The sequence below is a fragment of the Homo sapiens genome, chromosome 2 (assembly GCF_000001405.40).
Source record: "Homo sapiens chromosome 2, GRCh38.p14 Primary Assembly".
In the NCBI taxonomy this organism is placed as follows: Eukaryota; Metazoa; Chordata; class Mammalia; order Primates; family Hominidae; genus Homo; species Homo sapiens.
Genome location: NC_000002.12, coordinates 202525010 through 202544368, shown reverse-complemented (window position 1 = coordinate 202544368; position 19359 = coordinate 202525010). Strand labels below are relative to the sequence as shown.

The 19359-nt window shown below is 41.5% G+C and overlaps 1 protein-coding gene across 2 annotated transcripts in view, besides 1 other annotated feature; it reads right to left on the bottom strand.

Annotated features, from left to right (window-relative positions):
- The window catches only part of BMPR2 (bone morphogenetic protein receptor type 2), a 191423-nt gene that overhangs the window by 23381 nt on the left and 148683 nt on the right, over positions 1-19359 (bottom strand). For both annotated transcript variants that reach the window (NM_001204.7, XM_011511687.2), the window contains exons 8-10: positions 13415-13575; positions 11637-11784; positions 1922-2058 (exon numbers count right to left, since the gene is read on the bottom strand). In NM_001204.7, coding sequence (NP_001195.2) covers positions 1922-2058; positions 11637-11784; positions 13415-13575 — 446 coding nt within the window. The remainder of the gene's footprint in view (positions 1-1921; positions 2059-11636; positions 11785-13414; positions 13576-19359) is intronic.
- Positions 9158-10156: an enhancer, noted in NCBI's record as "NANOG-H3K27ac hESC enhancer chr2:203398936-203399934 (GRCh37/hg19 assembly coordinates)". NCBI's record gives its function as "activates a minimal SCP1, AML or CMV promoter by ChIP-STARR-seq in primed H9 embryonic stem cells {active_cell/tissue: H9 hESC(primed)}" and the evidence as "EXISTENCE:reporter gene assay evidence [ECO:0000049][PMID:30033119]".

The following is a 19359-nucleotide window of genomic DNA, read 5'->3' as shown; positions in this document are numbered from 1 at the left end:
ATTTTTAAACATGCAAGGATTCATAATGTTTACCACCATACACATACTAATACACATTACTTAAGGAGGAACTTCATCAAAAAAACAATCGTTTACAAGAAAGAGAATGACATGAGATTTTTAATGCGCTTCTGAGTATAGCCTAAAAACAAGACAAAGAAAGATGACAAGAAACCAAAAAGAAATCATTTGATGATGACTTTTCAAATTTTTTTTTGTTTTTTTTTGAGATGGGGTCTCACTCTGTCACCCAGGCTGGAGTGCAGTGGCACGATCTCGCCTCGCTGCAACCTCCACCTCTGGGGTTCAAGCAATTCTCCTACCTCAGCCTCCTGGGCAGCTGAGACTTGATGACATTTTTTTTTAAAGAGACAGGGTCTTACTCAGGCTGGAGGGCAGTGGTGTGATCATAGCTCACTGCAGCCTCAAACCCTTGGGCTCAAGTGATGGATGATAACTTGAAACATTCTCCCCAAAGCGCAGGGGAGATTTTAGTAACTAATGTAGAATTTTTATTTCCTATAAATCCAAGCACAATACTTTGTTGTGCAGTGAATGCTTACATAATCATAATACCAAAAATTTCTCGTTATTGTATTTAAATATTAGATGAATTTACAGACAAAACATAAATCATTTAATAATAGAATATTACAAACTGGGAGAAAGTAAACGAGAGATAACTTAAGAATAGATAGAGTATTTGAAGTTATAATGGTAATCTTTGGAAGAGAAAAAACCCAAAAGATTGCTAAAGGGAGTTACTTACGGAGAGTGATAGTAGGGAGAGGTAGTTTTTTCCTTTTTAATACAATAATTATCATATATCATCCAATAGAATCATTATATGATTTTATCAATAGAATACTGACCAAATGGAGAGAAATAGATACATCTAGAGGTACTGACATTAAAAAAATGTGTTTAAGTAAAAAAATAAACTTCAGAAATGATAGTAGATAATTAGATTATCCTATTTATACTAAAAGATTATATGAGTGTATATTTGTTAATTTGTAAGATGTTTTCAGTGTTGTAACAACAACTTACTCAAATGGCAGGGGACTTGAGATATTTCATTGTTGTGAATTTTACATATATATAAATATATGTATATAAATATATATGTATATAAATATATATATAAATATATATGTATATAAATATATATATATATGCTTTTTTTTTTTTTGAGACAGAGTCTCGCTCTGTCACCCAGGCTGGAGTGCAGTGGTGTGATCTCGGCTCATTGCAATCTCTGCCTCCCAGGTTCAAGCAATTCTCCTGCCTCAGCCTCCCAACTAGCTGGGACTACAGACACACGCCACCACGCCCGGCTAATTTTTTGTATTTTAGTAGAGGTGGGGTTTCACCATGTTGCCCAGGCTGGTCGCGAACTCCTGAGCTCAGGCAATCTGCCCGCCTCGGCCTCCCAAAGTGCTGGGATTACAGGTGTGAGCCACCGCACCCAGCCGAATTATATTTTTAATAATTAGCAGAATTCATAGGCTGCGCCTTGGTTTTTTTCAGGTCTAGCCTAAATTTTCATTAGCCATTGGTTATGTAAGCCTGCACTACTTAACAGTTTTGGTACTATTCTCAAGAGAGTAAGATAGAATTTCAATAATATTTAAAATATTAATATGTTAATTTATCCAGCTGTTACCTAATCTGGCAAACTTATGACACATTAGTTATTCTCTCTAAATAGTATTTTAAGCTTGGAAAAAAACAAAATGGAACTAAAACTGACTTTTTTTCATATTGAAAAATTTGAAAACATCATAAAAATCAAGTTTGATTTGTGGCATTAGGCAACTCCAAAAACTATTAACGTTATTAACAGTCTATTTTTGTTTCAAACAACATTAAAACATATTCAGTCATAAGTCCTCTCTTTAATAACTTAGTTTTTTCTTACCAGGCTATTTTCTTTCCAGGCTTCTGGGAACTTGGGTCTCTGTTTTTCCCTAGACACGAGAACCTGCATATCCTCAAAAGTGGGATGGTTTCCAACCTCTGTCTGAAAAGCCATCTGGTACTCTGGTACGGATTCCCCTGTGGATTTGTAGAAAAGAATGACAGAATAAAATTTCTAACTATCATAAATGATAGAATAACAGGGGTATTTCTGATACCAAGTAAGCAAAAAAAATTGTGTCACAATCTTTTTATTTTTTCATCCCCTTCAGGCACATTTGGAAATCCTAAAGAGACCTTGCTGTAGGTTTAATGATTTTTTTTTCTTTTTTTTTTTTTAGACGGAGTCTTACTCTGTTGCCCAGGCTGGAGTGCAGTGGCATGATCTCGGCTCACTGCAACCTCTGCCTCCCGGGTTCAAGTGATTCTCTCGCCTCAGCCTCCCGAGTAGCTTGGATTACAGGCGCACACCACCACGTCCAGCTAATTTTCATATTTTAGTAGAGATAGGGTTTCACCATGTTGGCCAGGCTGGTCTTGAACTCCTGACCTCAGGTGATCCACCAGCCTCGGCCTCCTAAAGTGCTGGGATTACAGGCGTGAGCCACCATGCCCAGTCTAATGCATTATTAATGAATGTTTTGCTTAGAATAGTCTCAAATATTTGTTGATAAGTCAAATGGTAGTTTCAATGATGGATAGGTATTTTTAAATGGTTTCTGGTATTACTAAATTCAGGGAAAAAAGACTATTATGTTTATAAGGCATACTTAATACTTGAAAACATGCCTGAACACTGATCCCATGGAGGCGGGTAAAGATGAGGAAAAACTCCAGGACCTAGTACAACAAATATGCCTACAGAACCAAATGTAAGTGGGTGGGTTGAACAGTCACTATGTCTCATTACATCATTGGTTCTATTATAGTCCAGCCAGACTGTATCAAATGTTACAAAAATATTTATGATAATGGTCATTTGAAAGAAAAATCAATATACTTTAAAAAAATTTTTTTTCAAAGAAACGCTCTCACTTTGTTGCCCAGGATGGAGTACGGTGGCATTATCATAGCTCACTGTAACTTGAACTCCTGCACTCAAGTGGCCTCCCTAATAGCTAAGACTACAAGAGTGTGGCACCATGCCCAGCTAATTTTTAAAAATATTTTTGTAGAGATAAGGTCTTGCCGTGTTGCCCAGGCTGGTCTCATACTTCTGCCCTCAAATGATTTTCCTGCCTCAGCCTCCCAAGGTGCTGAGATTACAGGTGTGAACCACTGTGCCCAGCTCTAAAAATTCCTTTTAACTAACAGGTAGTATTTAGATCATGGACTTAAATATTATTAACTATTTTATCACTATTTAATAACCCTATTCATTGCCAATAAGCACAATCAACTCTGATGTTAGGCTTTTGATTTTTACAAAATATGATAATAAAATTAAGTTTATGTATATAATATATTGAACCACATAGAAGACCCCTGGGACCAACACTCAATGATCTAGTAGAAACCATGGCAAAGAACACAGAGACTGTTCCTGTCTCTTTACCCGTCCTCCCACCCTATTAAAATGACAAGATAAATTAGAAGGAAGAACGCCAAGACAGAGGATAAGGCATTTAGGTTCTAATCTTCACTTCATCTTGACCTTGGAAAAGTCATTTAACTATTCTGTGTTTCAGACTTCCTGTAAGCAAAATGGCAATGTCTGCAGCCTTCCTTATATCACTTACATGGAGATAATACAAAGTTATAATGACCCAGATGGAAACCACATTACAAATAAGTTTATGTTTCATTTAAGTTTTGTTTCTATTTGAATACTCAAAACAACTAATAAATACTTGCCCTCCACCAATATTAAAAAAGATTTACAAAGATTAATTCTATTATCTGTGCAGCATCGCCCAAGTTTGTTGTAATACTGCCTTATGTATAAATACAAGTGAGTTTCACATACTGTAAACATTTAAGCAGATACTTAGTGTTGATCAATAACATCAACATTGAACTTGAGAGATAAAATTAAAGGATTTAATAATCATGGCAGTTAGTATATCACTTTCTTCCTTGAAACCCCATGTGATAAAACCTTATCCTATACCATCTGTGAATTGCAAGGTATTTACTAATGTATCTGATCTGTCTCTGAGACATACACACAACACATACACATACCTTCCAAGTGTTATTTATTATTTTTTTTTCAAATGCTGGTTTAGTAGAATAACTAAAAATTCACAATTTCACTCTTTTAAAAAATTAGGTCCAAATTATAATTTTAAAAGTTGCTAAAGGAAATTGAAGCACAATCTTTTATGAATGCAATGGTTAAGAATTACCAAATAAATTTCCACTAAATCTTCACAGTTCAAAATCTAATTGTTCAATAGAAACTTGTTTAGTGCTAACTTAGTGTTAGGTATTAGAGATACAAAGGTGAATGTTAATGACAAAAATCATCATCATGGAAGATAATAACCTTATTGGATTTCCTTAAAACCTTACTGAATTTCCTTACTATCGCTGGATTGCTCAAGGAAAGTTTTATAATCTCATTTTCTTTAGAACTGCCCAAAATATCTTATAGTAATATCTAGCACTATCAGATACCATTACCTGCTTCTCACCCCATGTGCCACTTGTTAACTATGTCTCTACCAGTTACAGACCTTTTTTTAGCTCCCTTCTCAAATTACACTTATTCTTTCTTCCTTTTTCTATCTCTTCTTTTTTTCTTCCTTCTCCCCCTTCTATTTAAACTTTGTAGCATTTCACTCTTCCTCTGTAATACAGATAAATCATTTATTTTACTAACATTTTATAGAGAAGTAACCTTCATTACATAGTGTTTCCATTTAATAATACAGCACATACTGCATTTTGAGGTATATCATAAAAGTTTAAAAAATGTTTTATAAGAATTTTATAGTTAGTATACACTATTCTCTAGGTTTATTAATATATTTATATGATCCTTTTTTCTTTTCTACTTCCACCTCATTTAATTGTTAAAATTTTCAAGAGTGCCCTGTATCCCTTGACTGTGCTTTTTAAATACTTTCCCCTCCTATATACACTCTGTAACATGATTTCTGTGTTCTGTATTCCACAGAAACTCTTCTAAAAATACCAATGACCTCCTCCTACTCAAATTCAAAAATCATTCCTCAGTTCTGTTTCCTCTTTTCAATTACATCTATTGCCATCAATCTTGGTGTGGTTTTTTATTTTTATTTTTTAATCAGCTTCCTCAGGCTGAAATCTTAGTTCTTAAAGTTTTCTAATACTGACTTACAAGGCATTAGGATTTTTCAGTTTTCTCACTACTTTTCTGATCATTTGTCTTCTTAATTAACCTACTTCATGGGGGTAGTACCCCAATATTCAGTCATTATTCACCTATTTTTCTTTCTTTTTATGTTCCAGTTAAAGGAGTGCATCGACTCATAACTTCTCAGTTACCATCTCTATGTAGACAACTCCCAAATAACCATTTTAATCTTAAATTTCCATCTTATTTATTATTTTTAATTGTCTTTAAAAATTTATTTAGTTGTCTGTCAATACCCCATCGAACAGTCTCCAGGATTAACTCATCTTTCTGGTTGCCACTCTGACCCTCACTTTTTTTTTTTTTTTTTTTTTTGAGACAGAGTCTCGCTTTGTCACCCAGGCTGGAGTGCGGTGGCGCGATCTCTGCTCACTGCAACCTCTGCGTCCCGGGTTCAAGCAATTCTCTTGCCTCAGCCTCCCGAGTAGCTGGGATTACAGGTGCCCACAACCAAGCCCGGCTAATTTTTTTGTACTTTTAGTACAGTTGGGGTTTCACCACGTTGGTCAGGCTGGTCTCAAACTCCTGACCTCAGGTGATCCACTAGCCTTGGCCTCCCAAAGTGCTGGGATTACAGGTGTGAGCCACTGTGCCTGGCCCACCCTCACTGTGTTTTAAGACCTCTGAATAGTTCCTTCTTTTTTTTCTTTAAGAGATGGAGTCTCGCTCTGTTGCCCAGGATGGAGGGCAATGGAGGCAATCTCGGCTCACTGCAACCTCCGCCTCCCTAGTTCAAGCAGTTCTCCTGCCTCAGACTCCCAAGTAGCTAGAATTACAGGTGACTGCCACCACGACCAGCTGATTTTTAAATATTTTTAGTAGAGATAGGCTTTCACCATGTTGGCCCGGCTGGTTTCGAACTCCTGACCTCAAATGATCCACCCACCTCAGCCTCCCAAAGTGCTAGGATTACAGGCCTGAGCCACCGTGCCCGGCCAACCTCTGAATATTTCTCAATTCCTTTGAATCCCATTCTTTTTAGTTTTTGACATGGAGTCTCGTTCTGTCACCCAGGCTGGAGTGCAGTGGCGCGATCTCGGCTCACTGCAACCTCTGCCTCCCAGGTTCAGGTGATTCTCCTGCCTCAGCCTCCTGAGTAGCTGGGATTACAGGCGTGTGCCACTGCACCTGTCTAATTTTTGTATTTGTAGTAGAGCGGGGTTTCACCATGCTGGCCAGGCTGGTCTCGAACTCCTGACCTGGAGATCCACCCCCACCCCTCTCAGCCTCCTAAAGTGCTGGGTTTGCAGGCGTGAGCCACACCTGGCCTGACATCTCATTCTTTTAACAGATAACCACAAGTACAGATTTCTTCTCTGCATTTTCTCCCAGATTTGCCTCTCCCCATTTCCATATCCAAGATTACGGGGTATTTTAAAGCAACTCTCTTCTTATTCCTTTATTTTTTTTTTATCGTGGTAGAATATACATAACATAAAACTGATCATTTTAACCATTTTTAAGTGCACCATTCTGTGGTATTAAGTACATTCACACTATTGTACAACCATTACTACTAACCATTTCTAGAACTGTTTCTATCTTCCCAAACTGAAACTCTGTACCCATTAAACAGTAACTCTCCATTTCTTTTTCCTTTTTAAGCCCCTTCTAGTTCTATTTCTATTTTAATTAATCCTACATATTTGCTAAAATAATCTTCTGAAAACAAGATTTAATTGCCTTTCCCTATTCAAACATTTAATATCATTCTTTATTATTTATCAGATCAAAAGCGATAGTCATTCTTTGAACACAGTAGTTTTTCAAAATATATTGTTTGTAGCAGTGTACTAATCTGATGAAAAAATCATTTCAGTCAGACATGCTTCTAAAACAAAAATCCTACATGAGACTATTAACAAAGAAATTACCAAACTGTGGTCAAAGTTCTGATAATACAATACTTGTGGGTTTGGGTGTGGTGGCTCATGCCTGCAATCACAGCATTTTGGGAGGCTGAGGCAGGAGGATCACTTGAGCCCAGGAGTTCGAGGCCAGCCTGGGCAATACAGCAAAACACTGTCTCGACAAAAAATAAAATACTAGCCGGGCGTGGTGGCATGCACCTGTAGTCCTAGCTACTCAGGAGGCTGAGCAGGAGGACTGCTTGAGCCCAAGAGTTCAGTGCTGCAGTGAGCTATGATTGCACTACTGCACTCCGGCCTGGGCAGGAGTGAGACCCTGTCTCTTAAAAACAAAACAAAAAAAGTACTTCTTTTTTTTTTTTTTTTTTTTGAGACCGAGTTTCACTCTTGTTGCCCAGGCTGGAGTGCAATGGTGCAATCTCAGCCTTGCAACCTCTGCCTCCCGGGTTCAAGCGATTCTCCTGCCTCAGCCTCCCAAGTAGCTGGGATTACAGGCATGTGCCACCACATCCAGCTAATTTTGTATTTTTAGTAGAGACAGGGTTTCACCATGTTGGTCAGGCTGGTCTTGAACTCCCGACCTCAGGTGATACACTTGCCTCGGCCTCCTAAGGTGCTGGGATTACAGGCGTGAGCCACCGCACCCGGCCAAAAAAAGTACTTGTTGATACTACTGCAATTACTGCTATTTTCAGAAAAATGCCTCAATTGAATCTCTGTACTTTTAATTAACTAGAAAATATACTTCTAGATAACTGATTAACCTGTACTTAATCTACTAATCACTGATTTATTTCATTATATTTTTGAATTACAAACTAATGTTTGGCCTGGTGCGGTGGCTCACTCCTGTAATCCAGGCACTTTTGGAGGCTGAAGTGGGTGGATCACTTGAGCCCAGGAGTTTGAGACCAGCCTGAGCAACATGGTGAAACCTTGTCTCTACAAAAAAATACAAAAATGAACCAGGCTTGGTGGTGCATGCCTGTAGTCCCAGCTACTCAGAGGCTGAGGTGGGAGAATCACCTGAGCCTGGGGAGGTCAAGGCTGCAGTGAGCTGTGATCACACCACTGCACTCCAGCCTAGGTGACAGAGTGAGGCTCTGTCTCTTAAAAAAATTTTATTTAGCTCCCTCTCCCTCTCCCTCTCCCCACGGTCTCCCTCTCCCTCTCTTTCCACGGTCTCCCTCTCATGCCGAGCCGAAGCTGGACTGTACTGCTGCCATCTCAGCTCACTGCAACCTCCCTGCCTGATTCTCCTGCCTCAGCCTGCCGAGTGCCTGCGATTGCAGGCACGCGCCGCCACGCCTGACTGGTTTTGGTGGAGACGGGGTTTCGCTGTGTTGGCCAGGCCGGTCTCCAGCCCCTAACCGCGAGTGATCCGCCAGCCTCGGCCTCCCGAGGTGCCGGGATTGCAGACGGAGTCTCGTTCACTCAGTGCTCAATGGTGCCCAGGCTGGAGTGCAGTGGCGTGATCTCGGCTCGCTACAACCTCCACCTCCCAGCCGCCTGCCTTGGCCTCCCAAAGTGCTGAGATTGCAGCCTCTGCCCGGCCGCCACCCCGTCTGGGAAGTGAGGAGCGTCTCTGCCTGGCCGCCCATCATCTGGGATGTGAGGAGCCCCTCTGCCCGGCTGCCCAGTCTGGAAAGTGGGGAGCGTCTCCGCCCGGCCGCCATCCCATCTAGGAAGTGAGGAGCACCTCTTCCTGGCCGCCATCACATCTAGGAAGTGAGGAGCGTCTCTGCCCGGCCGCCCATCGTCTGAGATGTGGGGAGCGCCTCTGCCCCGCCGCCCCGTCTGGGATGTGAGGAGCGCCTCTGCCCAGCCGAGACCCCGTCTGGGAGGTGAGGAGCGTCTCTGCCCGGCCGCCCCGTCTGAGAAGTGAGGAGACCCTCTGCCTGGCAACCGCCCCGTCTGAGAAGTGAGGAGCCCCTCCGCCCGGCAGCCGCCCCGTCTGAGAAGTGAGGAGCCTCTCCGCCCAGCAGCCGCTCCGTCTGGGAAGTGAGGAGTGTCTCCGCCCGGCAGCCACCCCGTCCGGGAGGGAGGTGGGGGGGGTCAGCCCCCCGCCAGGCCAGCCGCCCCATCCGGGAGGGAGGTGGGGGGGTCAGCCCCCCGCCCGGCCAGCCGCCCCGTCCGGGAGGGAGGTGGGGGGGTCAGCCCCCAGCCAGGCCAGCCGACCTGTCCGGGAGGGAGGTGGGGGGGTCAGCCACCCGCCCGGCCAGCCGACCCGTCCGGGAGGGAGGTGGCAGGGGGTCAGCCACCCGCCCGGCCAGGAGGTGGGGGGGGTCAGCCCCCCGCCCGGCCAGCCGCCCCGTCCGGGAGGGAGGTGGGGGGGTCAGCCCCCCGCCCGGCCAGCCGCCCCGTCCGGGAGGGAGGTGGGGGGGTCAGCCCCCCGCCTGGCCAGCCGCCCCGTCCGGGAGGTGAGGAGCCTCTCTGCCCGGCCACCACCCCGTCTGGGAGGTGTGCCCAACAGCTCATTGAGAACGGGCCAGGATGACAATGGCGGCTTTGTGGAATAGAAAGGCGGGAAAGGTGGGGAAAAGATTGAGAAATCAGATGGTTGCCGTGTCTGTGTAGAAAGAAGTAGACATGGGAGACTTTCCATTTTGTTCTGTACTAAGAAAACTTCTTCTGCCTTGGGATCCTGTTGATCTGTGACCTTGCCCCCAACCCTGTGCTCTCTGAAACATGTGCTGTGTCCCACTCAGGGTTAAATGGATTAAGGGCGGTGCAAGATGTGCTTTGTTAAACAGATGCTTGAAGGCAGCATGCTCGTTAAGAGTCATCACCACTCCCTAATCTCAAGTACCCAGGGACACAAACACTGCGGAAGGCCGCAGGGTCCTCTGCCTAGGAAAACCAGAGACCTTTGTTCACTTGTTTATCTGCTGACCTTCCCTCCACTATTGTCCTATGACCCAGCCAAATCCCCCTCTGTGAGAAACACCCAAGAATTATCAATAAAAAATAAATAAATAAATAAATAAATAAATAAAAATTTTATTTATATATATATATACACACACACACGATACATATATATGTGTGTGTGTGTGTATATATATATACACACACTTGATATATATAAACTAATGTGTAATGCCTAATGTCTTTAAAGCCAAACAATTCAACTCCATTATTAATCTTTTTAAATTAAATAGCTCTATTTCATAAATTTGTCCAATGCTAGTTCCTTTTTCTATGCTTTTAATGGTGTTACTCCTAAAAGACAGTGGCCACACAGATCAAATCATCTGTATAGCACCTAGAAGAATGCAATGCCAGATTTATAGTTAAAGTTTTTAGATGATACTACAACGATGTAATCCCTAAGAAGGGAAAACTATAAATTCATTTGGCTATTTCAAGTAAGCCTCAAACAAACATTCACTTAAATGAGTATTCTTTCCCTTTTTTTGAGACGGAGTCTTGCTCTGTTACCCAGGCTGGAGAGCCATGGCGTGATCTCAGCTCACTGCAACCTCCGCCTACTGGGTTCAAGCAATTCCTCTGCCCCAGCCTCCCGAGTAGCTGGGACTACAGGTGCTCGCCACCACGCCTGGCTAATTTTTGTATTATTAGTAGACATGGGGTTTCACCATATTGGCCAGGCTGGTCTCGAACTTCTGACCTCATGATCCGCCTGCCTTGGCCTCCCAAAGTGCTGGGATTACAGGTGTAAGCCACCGCGCCAGGCCTTTTTTTATTTTTTTGAGACAGAGTTTTGCTCTTGTTGCCCAGGCTGGGGTGCAACGGCAAGATCTTGGCTCACTGCAACCTCTGCCTCCCGGGTTCAAGCAATTCTCCTATCTCAGCCTCCTGAGCAGCTGGGATTACAGGTGCATATTATTAGTAGAAACGGGGTTTCACCATATTGGTCAGGTTGGTCTCGAACTCCTGACCTCAGGTGATCCGCAAGCCTCGGCCTCACAAAGTGCTGGGATTATAGGCATGAGCCACCGCACCTGGCCAATGAGTATTCTTTCATTGAAAGGAAGGAAGAAGAGAAAAGAGGAGGAAGGGAAGGAGATAAGGTGAGAGAAGAGGAAGGAAGGAAGAAAGAAGGAAAGAAGGAAGGAGGGAGAAAGGGAGCATGAAAAAAAAAGAAAAGGAAAAAGTGTTTACAAATAATTCATTGCTTCTAATTCCTTCTGGGTTCAACTCAGTAAACATCGTAAGTGTACCTTGTCTCAAACACTCAGATGGTGCATAAGGAAAATGTTTACTGCTAAAGCAATCAGAGACCAAACAAAATACAGTTAGATAAGCTATTACTGGCAATTAATTAAATTTCACTCAGATGAAAACCTGGAGTACTCTAAAAAAAAAAATTCCTAATTTGCATCCTGCTGCTAATAATGTTTCTAAACACTAGATAGCAATGAACTAAAGGTTTAAATGAAAGTAAAAAGATTCTTACATAAAAGTTGAGTTAGGTACTATAGGTAGAGAAAGAAGATATAACTGCTTCACTTCAAAAAATATCAACTTTTGACAGTAGTTTTTACCTGGGAAGAGGTCTGTACATCTCATAAATATCTCCCAATAGATTAGTCCAAGAGCATACATGTCTACTTGTTTCAAAGCTGATTCACAGTCCCTCAAGTTCACAGCTCCTTCTAGCACTTCTGGTGCCATATATCTGATAGTGCCAACCTGATAAATTAGAGTGATATTTTTTAGAGAGAGAACGTAGCATATTCTGAAGAACAGACATTAGACCAGAAGTTATATATAAATCTTAGTCATGTCAATGTTATTTGACCCTAACCATGTCATTAAACCTTTCTATAACTTATTTTTTACCTATAAAATGCCCTTCCTGAATAAGTAAACTGTGGTAAATCCATTTTAGTGAATACTATTAATCAATCAAAAAGAATGAGCTAGACTTTCCTATGTATATCAATATAAATAATCTGTAAGATACAGTGAGAAAATTGCAAAACAATATGTATACAACTTAATATTTTTTAAAATTCACAAAAATACAGCTGGGTGGCCGGGTGCAGTGGCTCATGCCTGTAATCCTAGCACTTTGGGAGGCCAAGGCGGGTGGATCTCAAGGTCAGGAGATCGAGACCATCCTGGCTAACACAGTGAAACCCCGTCTCTACTAAAAAAAAATAAAAAATTAACCAGGCATGGTGGTGGGTGCCTGTAGTCCCAGCTACTCAGGAGGCCGAGGCAGGAAAATAGCGTGAACCCGGGAGATGGAGCTTGCAGTGAGCCATGATCGCGCCACTGCACTCCAGCCTGGGTGACAGAGAGAGACTCCGTCTCAAAAAAAAAAAAAAAAAAAAAAAAAAATACAGCTGGGCGTGGTGGCTCACACTTGTAATTGCAGCACTTTGGGAGGCCAAGGTGGGTGGATCACCTAAGGTCAGGACTTCAAGACCACCCTAACATGGAGAAACCTCGTATCTACTAAAATTACAAAAATTAGCCAGACATGGTGGTACATGCCTATAATGCCAGCTACTCAGGAGGCTGAGGCAGGAGAATTGCTTCAACCTGGGAGGCAGAGGTTGCGGTGGGCTGAGATTGCACCATTGCACTCCAGCCTGGGCAACAAAAGTGAAACTCCATCTCAAAATAAACAAATAAATAAATTTTTAAAATCACAAAAATACATATATGTTGTGCACAGACAAGTATATATGAATGCAGAGAACAAAGTTGGGAAGGATACGTTCCACACTGTAATGGTGATTATCAGAAGGTGGACTGTGTTATCTTAAACTTGGTAACTTTACCCTTGCCTCAAAAATCAGTTCCTACAAATTTGTTCCTAATGCTTGTAAAAATGACTTGGAATGGCAGTGAGTTCCAAAATAAACTGATGAACTTTACAAAGGCCTTTATGAGATGTCTTTTATATTTCCTAATTTTGTAATTCCTAGTATTCTATAATTGGCAGTATATGAGGATAATTGTCCTGAGTCTCACTCACTCTGTCACCCAGGATGGAGTGCAGTGGCACAATCTCAGCTCACTGCAACTTCCTCCTCCTGGGTTCAAGCGATTCTCTTGCCTCAGACTCCCGAGTAGCTGGGATTACAGGTGCGTGCCACTGTGCCCGGCTAATTTTTGTATTTTTAGTAGAGACGGGGTTTCGCCATGTTGGCCAAGCTGGTCTCGAACTCTTTACCTTAGGTGATCCACCCACCTGGGCCTACCAAAGTGCTGGGATTACAGGCGTGAGCCACCACACCTGGCCAGTAGATGTTTTAATTAAATTATCATTTCAAAGTACATCAGTGTGATACCTTTTGTATACACTCACCTCGCTTATGGCTGCATTATCTTCCTCCCCTGGGCGCACCAGTCTATTTCCAGTCAGCCTCATGGACAGTCCAAAGTCACTAATAACACAGGTTCCATCATTTTTCACTAGGACATTTCTGCTGTTTAAATCTCGATGGGAAATTGCAGGTTTATAATGATCTGTTTGGATAATTTCAAATATTTATCAATGAATAAAAGGGACTATTGAACATGAAATGAACATACATAAATATAGAAGTAGTATTATTTTTCTGCCCATTAATTTTCTAATAACAAAAAAAGAGAAATCGGAATTTCAACTCACACTCATCACTATTTTCTAATATATTTTATAATATAACTCCTGTTGCATGTATAGTTAAACATTAACTAAAACTAACAAACATGCTGCCACTTCAGATTCTAACACGCACTTGTTTTTTCTCTTCATTTATAGTATAGGGCTGTAAAAGGAGGCAATACAGAAAGGAATATTTGGTATAAACATCAAAAAAAAAAAGTCTGCTTGTCTAAAATAAGTATCAGTGAAAAACTAATGGAGCTCCAAAATTTTAACGTAAATCTTAAACTGCTCTCCTATGGCTTAACAGATCAAATCTGTGACAGCACATTCCAGTTCTGCCCTGAGGTTTAGCCATATCTCTAAGCCCACCTCAGCTTTTCAAATCTAACCACAAATAGTTTTACAATGGTTTGGAAAAACAAGTGGAGGAAGTGGTATCTCTCACCAAGATATGAAAACTTGTTTTTCTGATTTTACAGAAGCAAAGTAGTATTATGCTCCTTCTATTACTTTTTTATCCTTATCATAGGACTACAGGCTCCATGAAGGCAGAAAGAGAACATCTTTCACCTGACTTTAAAAGGCTTGGCACAGAGTAGACACACAGTAAATGATTGCTGACTGAAAGAATGAATCTAACCTAAGCCTCTCACCAAATATAAGTACATTATATTTTTCTTCTCTATAAGGAAATCTTATATAAACCTTGTATTAAATAAAACCATAGCTCTGGAACTGAAAAAAAATTCTATAGCACAATTTCTGAAATTTAAAATATCTGCTTAGGTATAGAGAAAAACAAAGCAATCAGAACAAAGTCAATACATTTACTGAGGATTTGTATTTTGGCACAAATAGACTCAGTATTCAGATGTATTACGCTCATTAATGAGCATTCAAATGCAATTTCACCAATAATGAAACTATAGATAATTATAATAATCATTGATTTAAAAAAATTAAGCAACAGTACAATTTGAAGAAAAAATAGGAGTTACCAATTTCTTCACCTAAGAGTTGATTTCTTTCTCATTTCCTCCCTTACCCACTTCCTGTTCTCCAGTCTTCCAAAGCTTGTATTAACTTGGCTCCTACTCAATTCCTGCAAGAGCTGCATTTCTTACTCTGGATAAAGCCACAACATAAATATATGTCGTACAATCTTGAGCTAATATTTATATAGGAAAACTCATGGAAACATTGGAATATATTTATATAATAATACCAAATCAATGGGCAGAACTATAGACTGCCCTTTTGAGAAAAGTTTTCCCTTTTAAACTCCCCTCTGTACTCATTTTAATTTTCTTTATTTGGGTATGGAGGGAGGGTGGAACATACAATAATTTTGCCCTGGGCAGAACACTGCAGTAGGCAAATATCTCAAAGGAAAGCACAACAAGATATTAGTTATATGTATTTTTAAAACCTGACCAAAAATAGTCAATCTATGGATATTTATACATATTATCACCAGTGCTATCCCCCTGCCCTCCCAAGGACATGAAAGACTATATACAAACTACTTAACAGTAATTTTCTGGTGAAGTCTGAGTTGTCTATATCTATTTTTTTGGTCAGATATTTCTTTGGTAATAAGCATGCGTTGCTATTATAATATGGAAAAAATTCATAGGGAGATCTTATTACAAATAAATAAATAGGTTCAATTCTTCCTTATTCGGAAGCAACAAACAGCTGAATAAGTAATAACAGTATAATTCCTTACTACCAAATTTCTACTCCAAATAACAAAGTTATATCTGAAGATGCTGGGAAGGATAGAATTCAGTGAAAGAGCACTTCAAGTAAAAATAGTATAGTATAGGCATACAGATGATCTTTCACTTACAGATGGTTTGATTTATGATTTCTCAACTTTACAGTGGTGGGAAAGCAGTAAACAATCAGTAGAAACCATACTTCATTCCTTTTTATCACTTTCAGAACAGTGTTCAATAAATCACATGAGATATTCAATCCTTTATTATAAAGTAGACTTTGTATTGGATGATTTGGCCAACTGTAGGCTAATGTAAGTGTTCTGAGCATATTTAAGATAGTTTAGGCTAAGCTATGATGTTCAGTAGGTTAAATGTATTAAATGCATTTTCAACTTACAATATTTCTAACTTATGATCTTTTTTCTTTTCTTTCTTTCATTTTTTTAAAACAGGGTCTCTGGCCAGGCGTGCTGGCTCACGCCTGTAATCCCAGCACTTGGGGAGGCTGAGGCGGGTGGATCACGAGGTCAGGAGATCGAGACCATCCTGGCCAACACAGTGAAACCCTGTCTCTACTAAAAATACAAAAAATCAGCTCGGCGTGGTGGCGGGTGCCTGTAGTCCCAGCTACTCTGGAGGCTGAGGCAGGAGAATGGCATGAAGCCGGGAGGCAGAGCTTGCAGTGAGCCGAGATCACGCCATTGTACTACAGCCTGGGCGACAGAGCGAGACTCCATCTCAAAAGTAAATAAATAAATAAAAACAGGGTCTCGTTCTGTTGCTCAGGCTGGAGTGCAGTGGCATGATCTTGGCTCACTGCAGTCTTGACCTCCTGGGCTCAGGCAATCCTCCCACCTCAGCCTCCTAAATAGCTGGGACTACAGGTGCATGCCACCACAGCCAGCTAATTTTTTTATTTTTGTAGAGACGGGGTCTCACTATGTTGCCGAGGCTAGTCTCAAACTTCTGAGCTCAGGAGTTTGATTCTCCTGCCTCAGCCTCCTAAAGTGCTGGGATTACAGGGATGAACTACCATGCCCAGCCAATTTATAATCAGTTCATTGGGATGTAATCCCATTGTAAGTCAAGAAACATCTGTACTTGGGAATATTTTTTATTTATTTATTTATTTTTTTATTATTATTTTTTTTTGAGATGGAGTCTCGCTCTGTCGCCCAGGCCGGACTGCCGACTGCAGTGGCGCAATGTCGGCTCACTGCAAGCTCCGCTTCCCGGGTTCACGCCATTCTCCTGCCTCAGCCTCCCGAGTAGCTGGGACTACAGGCGCCCGCCACCGCGCCCGGCTAATTTTTTTTGTATTTTTAGTAGAGACGGGGTTTCACCTTGTTAGCCAGGATGGTCTCGATCTCCTGACCTCATGATCCACCCGCCTCGGCCTCCCAAAGTGCTGGGATTACAGGCGTGAGCCACCGCGCCCGGCCTATTTATTTATTTTTGAGATGGAGTCTTGCTCCGTCGCCCAGGCTGGAGTGCAGTGGCGGCAATCTCAGCTCACTGCAACCTCTGCCTCCCAGGTTCAAGCGATTCTTCTGCCTCAGCCTACCGAGTAGCTGGGACTACAGGCGCACGCCACCACGCCCAGCTAATTTTTTTTGTATTTTTAGTAGAGACAGGGTTTCACATGTTGGCCAGAATGGTTTCGATTTCTTGACCTCACGATCCACCCACCTCGGCCTCCCAAAGTGCTGGGATTACAGCCTTGAGCCACTGCATTTGGCCAGGGAATATTTTTTAAATAATCAGGTAAAAAACATAAATTCTGGGCAGGCACAGTGGCTCATGCCTGTAATCCCAGCTCTTTTGGAGGTCGAGGCAGGTGGATCACCTGAGGTCAGGAGTTTGAGACCACCCTGGCCAATATGGTGAAACCTTGTCTCTACTAAAATACAAAAAATTAGCCCAGCATGGTGGTGGACGTCTGTAATCCCAGCTACTTGGGAGGCTGAGGCAGGAGAATCGCTTGAATCCAGGAGGCGGAGGTTGCAGTGAGCCAACATTATGCCATTGCCCTCCACCCTGGGCAACAGAGTGAGACTCCAAAAAAAAGAAAAATCCCATAAATTCAAATAGCTACTATATTTATATGCAATAGCAGCATCTATGTACTTAGTTTTTAAAAAGGTATTACCCTTATTTAGTGGTAACATTAGCTAATGTTTCAGAGTAACAGCTCTGTTTAAATAAAACTTATATCTGATGGCAATCATTCTTTTCAGCCTACATTTGACTTGAAACCTTGCTAAATTATGCAAGTCTTGAAAAGGGAGATTAGGATGGTATTTTAAGTTCTGTGCTAAGCCAACTTTTTAAAGGCAGTATAATATTGAAGAGCTAAGTGGACACAGTCCAATGGTTAATGTGCTAAAGCACTACAGCAAGTGCATCAAGTTGCTGACACAGGCAATACTTTGGACAATTCTGTATTTAGGAGAAGCAAGATGTCAAGATAAATGAACGGATAAATTATTCAGGAGAAATTATTTATACATGAAGCATCAGCTAGAAAAGATGATCCATGCTAATATACAATGAAACAAAGATCTAAGAAAACTGATATATTAAAGTTCTCTTCACTAAAGATGTCAGAGAGACTGAAAAAATAATGTCAGGGCTATAATATGACAAGGAAATGTAGCAAGGGATGAGGGTAGAAGAAAGCACAAAGACACAATTATAGCAAAGGTAACTTTGGGGTATCTATGAGGTGAGGTGTATATTGAAACAAAGTGAGAAAGCAAACGTATTAAAGAGATGCTCCAGGCTGGGTGCTGTGGCTCACACCTGTAATCCTAGCACTTTGGGAGGCTGAGGTGGGCAGATCACCTGAGGTCAGGAGTTCAAGACCAGCCTGAGTCAACATGGAGAAACCCCATCTCTACTAAAAATACAAAATTAGCTGGGCGTGGTGGTGCATGCCTGTAATCCCAGCTACTCGGGAGGCTGAGGCAGGAGAATTGCTTGAACCCGGGAGGCGGAGGTTGCAGTGAGCTGAGATCGCACCATTGCACTCCAGCCTGAGCAGCAAGAGCTAAACTCCGTCTCAAAAAAAAAAAAAAAAAAAAAAAAAGATGCTCTGAACAACTAGCAAAAATATGCATGAAAGGTGAGGAAGACCACAGTTACAACAGGGAATATAACTACATAGCTCTGAAACACGAGCAAAGGCTGATCCCCACAATGTATTCTTCTCTTCCTACCTAGTAACAGAACCCAATATTATTTGAGGCAGCAATACAAGCAGGAAACAACAACATCAACAACAACTATATTACCAGCCTCTTTTGGAGCTAAGTGTGCACTAGGTTCTGGGAAACAAACAAGCATAGGAGTGGGACTTATGGAGACAGAAAGGGACAATTCCTTTTACCTTCCCTTACTTTTCCCTGACTGGCATGATGGACAATGAGGTGACTTTGAAAATGAAAGCCAGCCAGGTGCGCTGGCTCATGCCTGTAATCCCAGCACTTTGGGAGGCAGAGGTGGGCGGCTCACCTGAGGTCAGGAGATCGAGACCATCTTGGCCAACATGGTGAAACCCCACCTCTACTAAAAATACAAAAATTAGCTGGGTGCATGCCTGTAATGCTTGGGAGACTGAGGCAGGAGAATTGCTTGAACCAGGGAGGCAGAGGTTGCAGTGAACTGAGATTGCGCCATTGCACTCCAGCCTGGGGAACAGAGCGAGACTCATCTCAAAAAAAACAAAAAACAACAACAACAAAACTCACGTACCTCATAAATATATACACTACTATGTACCCACAAAAATTAAAAATTAAAAAAATTAATGATGCATTGTAGTTCACTTAAACAAAATTAATACAAGGAAAATATAATATAGCCTAGCTAAGAGGTTCTTAACCTAAGATCCAAAAATGGGCTTTAAAAAGTCTGAAAATGCCCTAGAATCAAAAG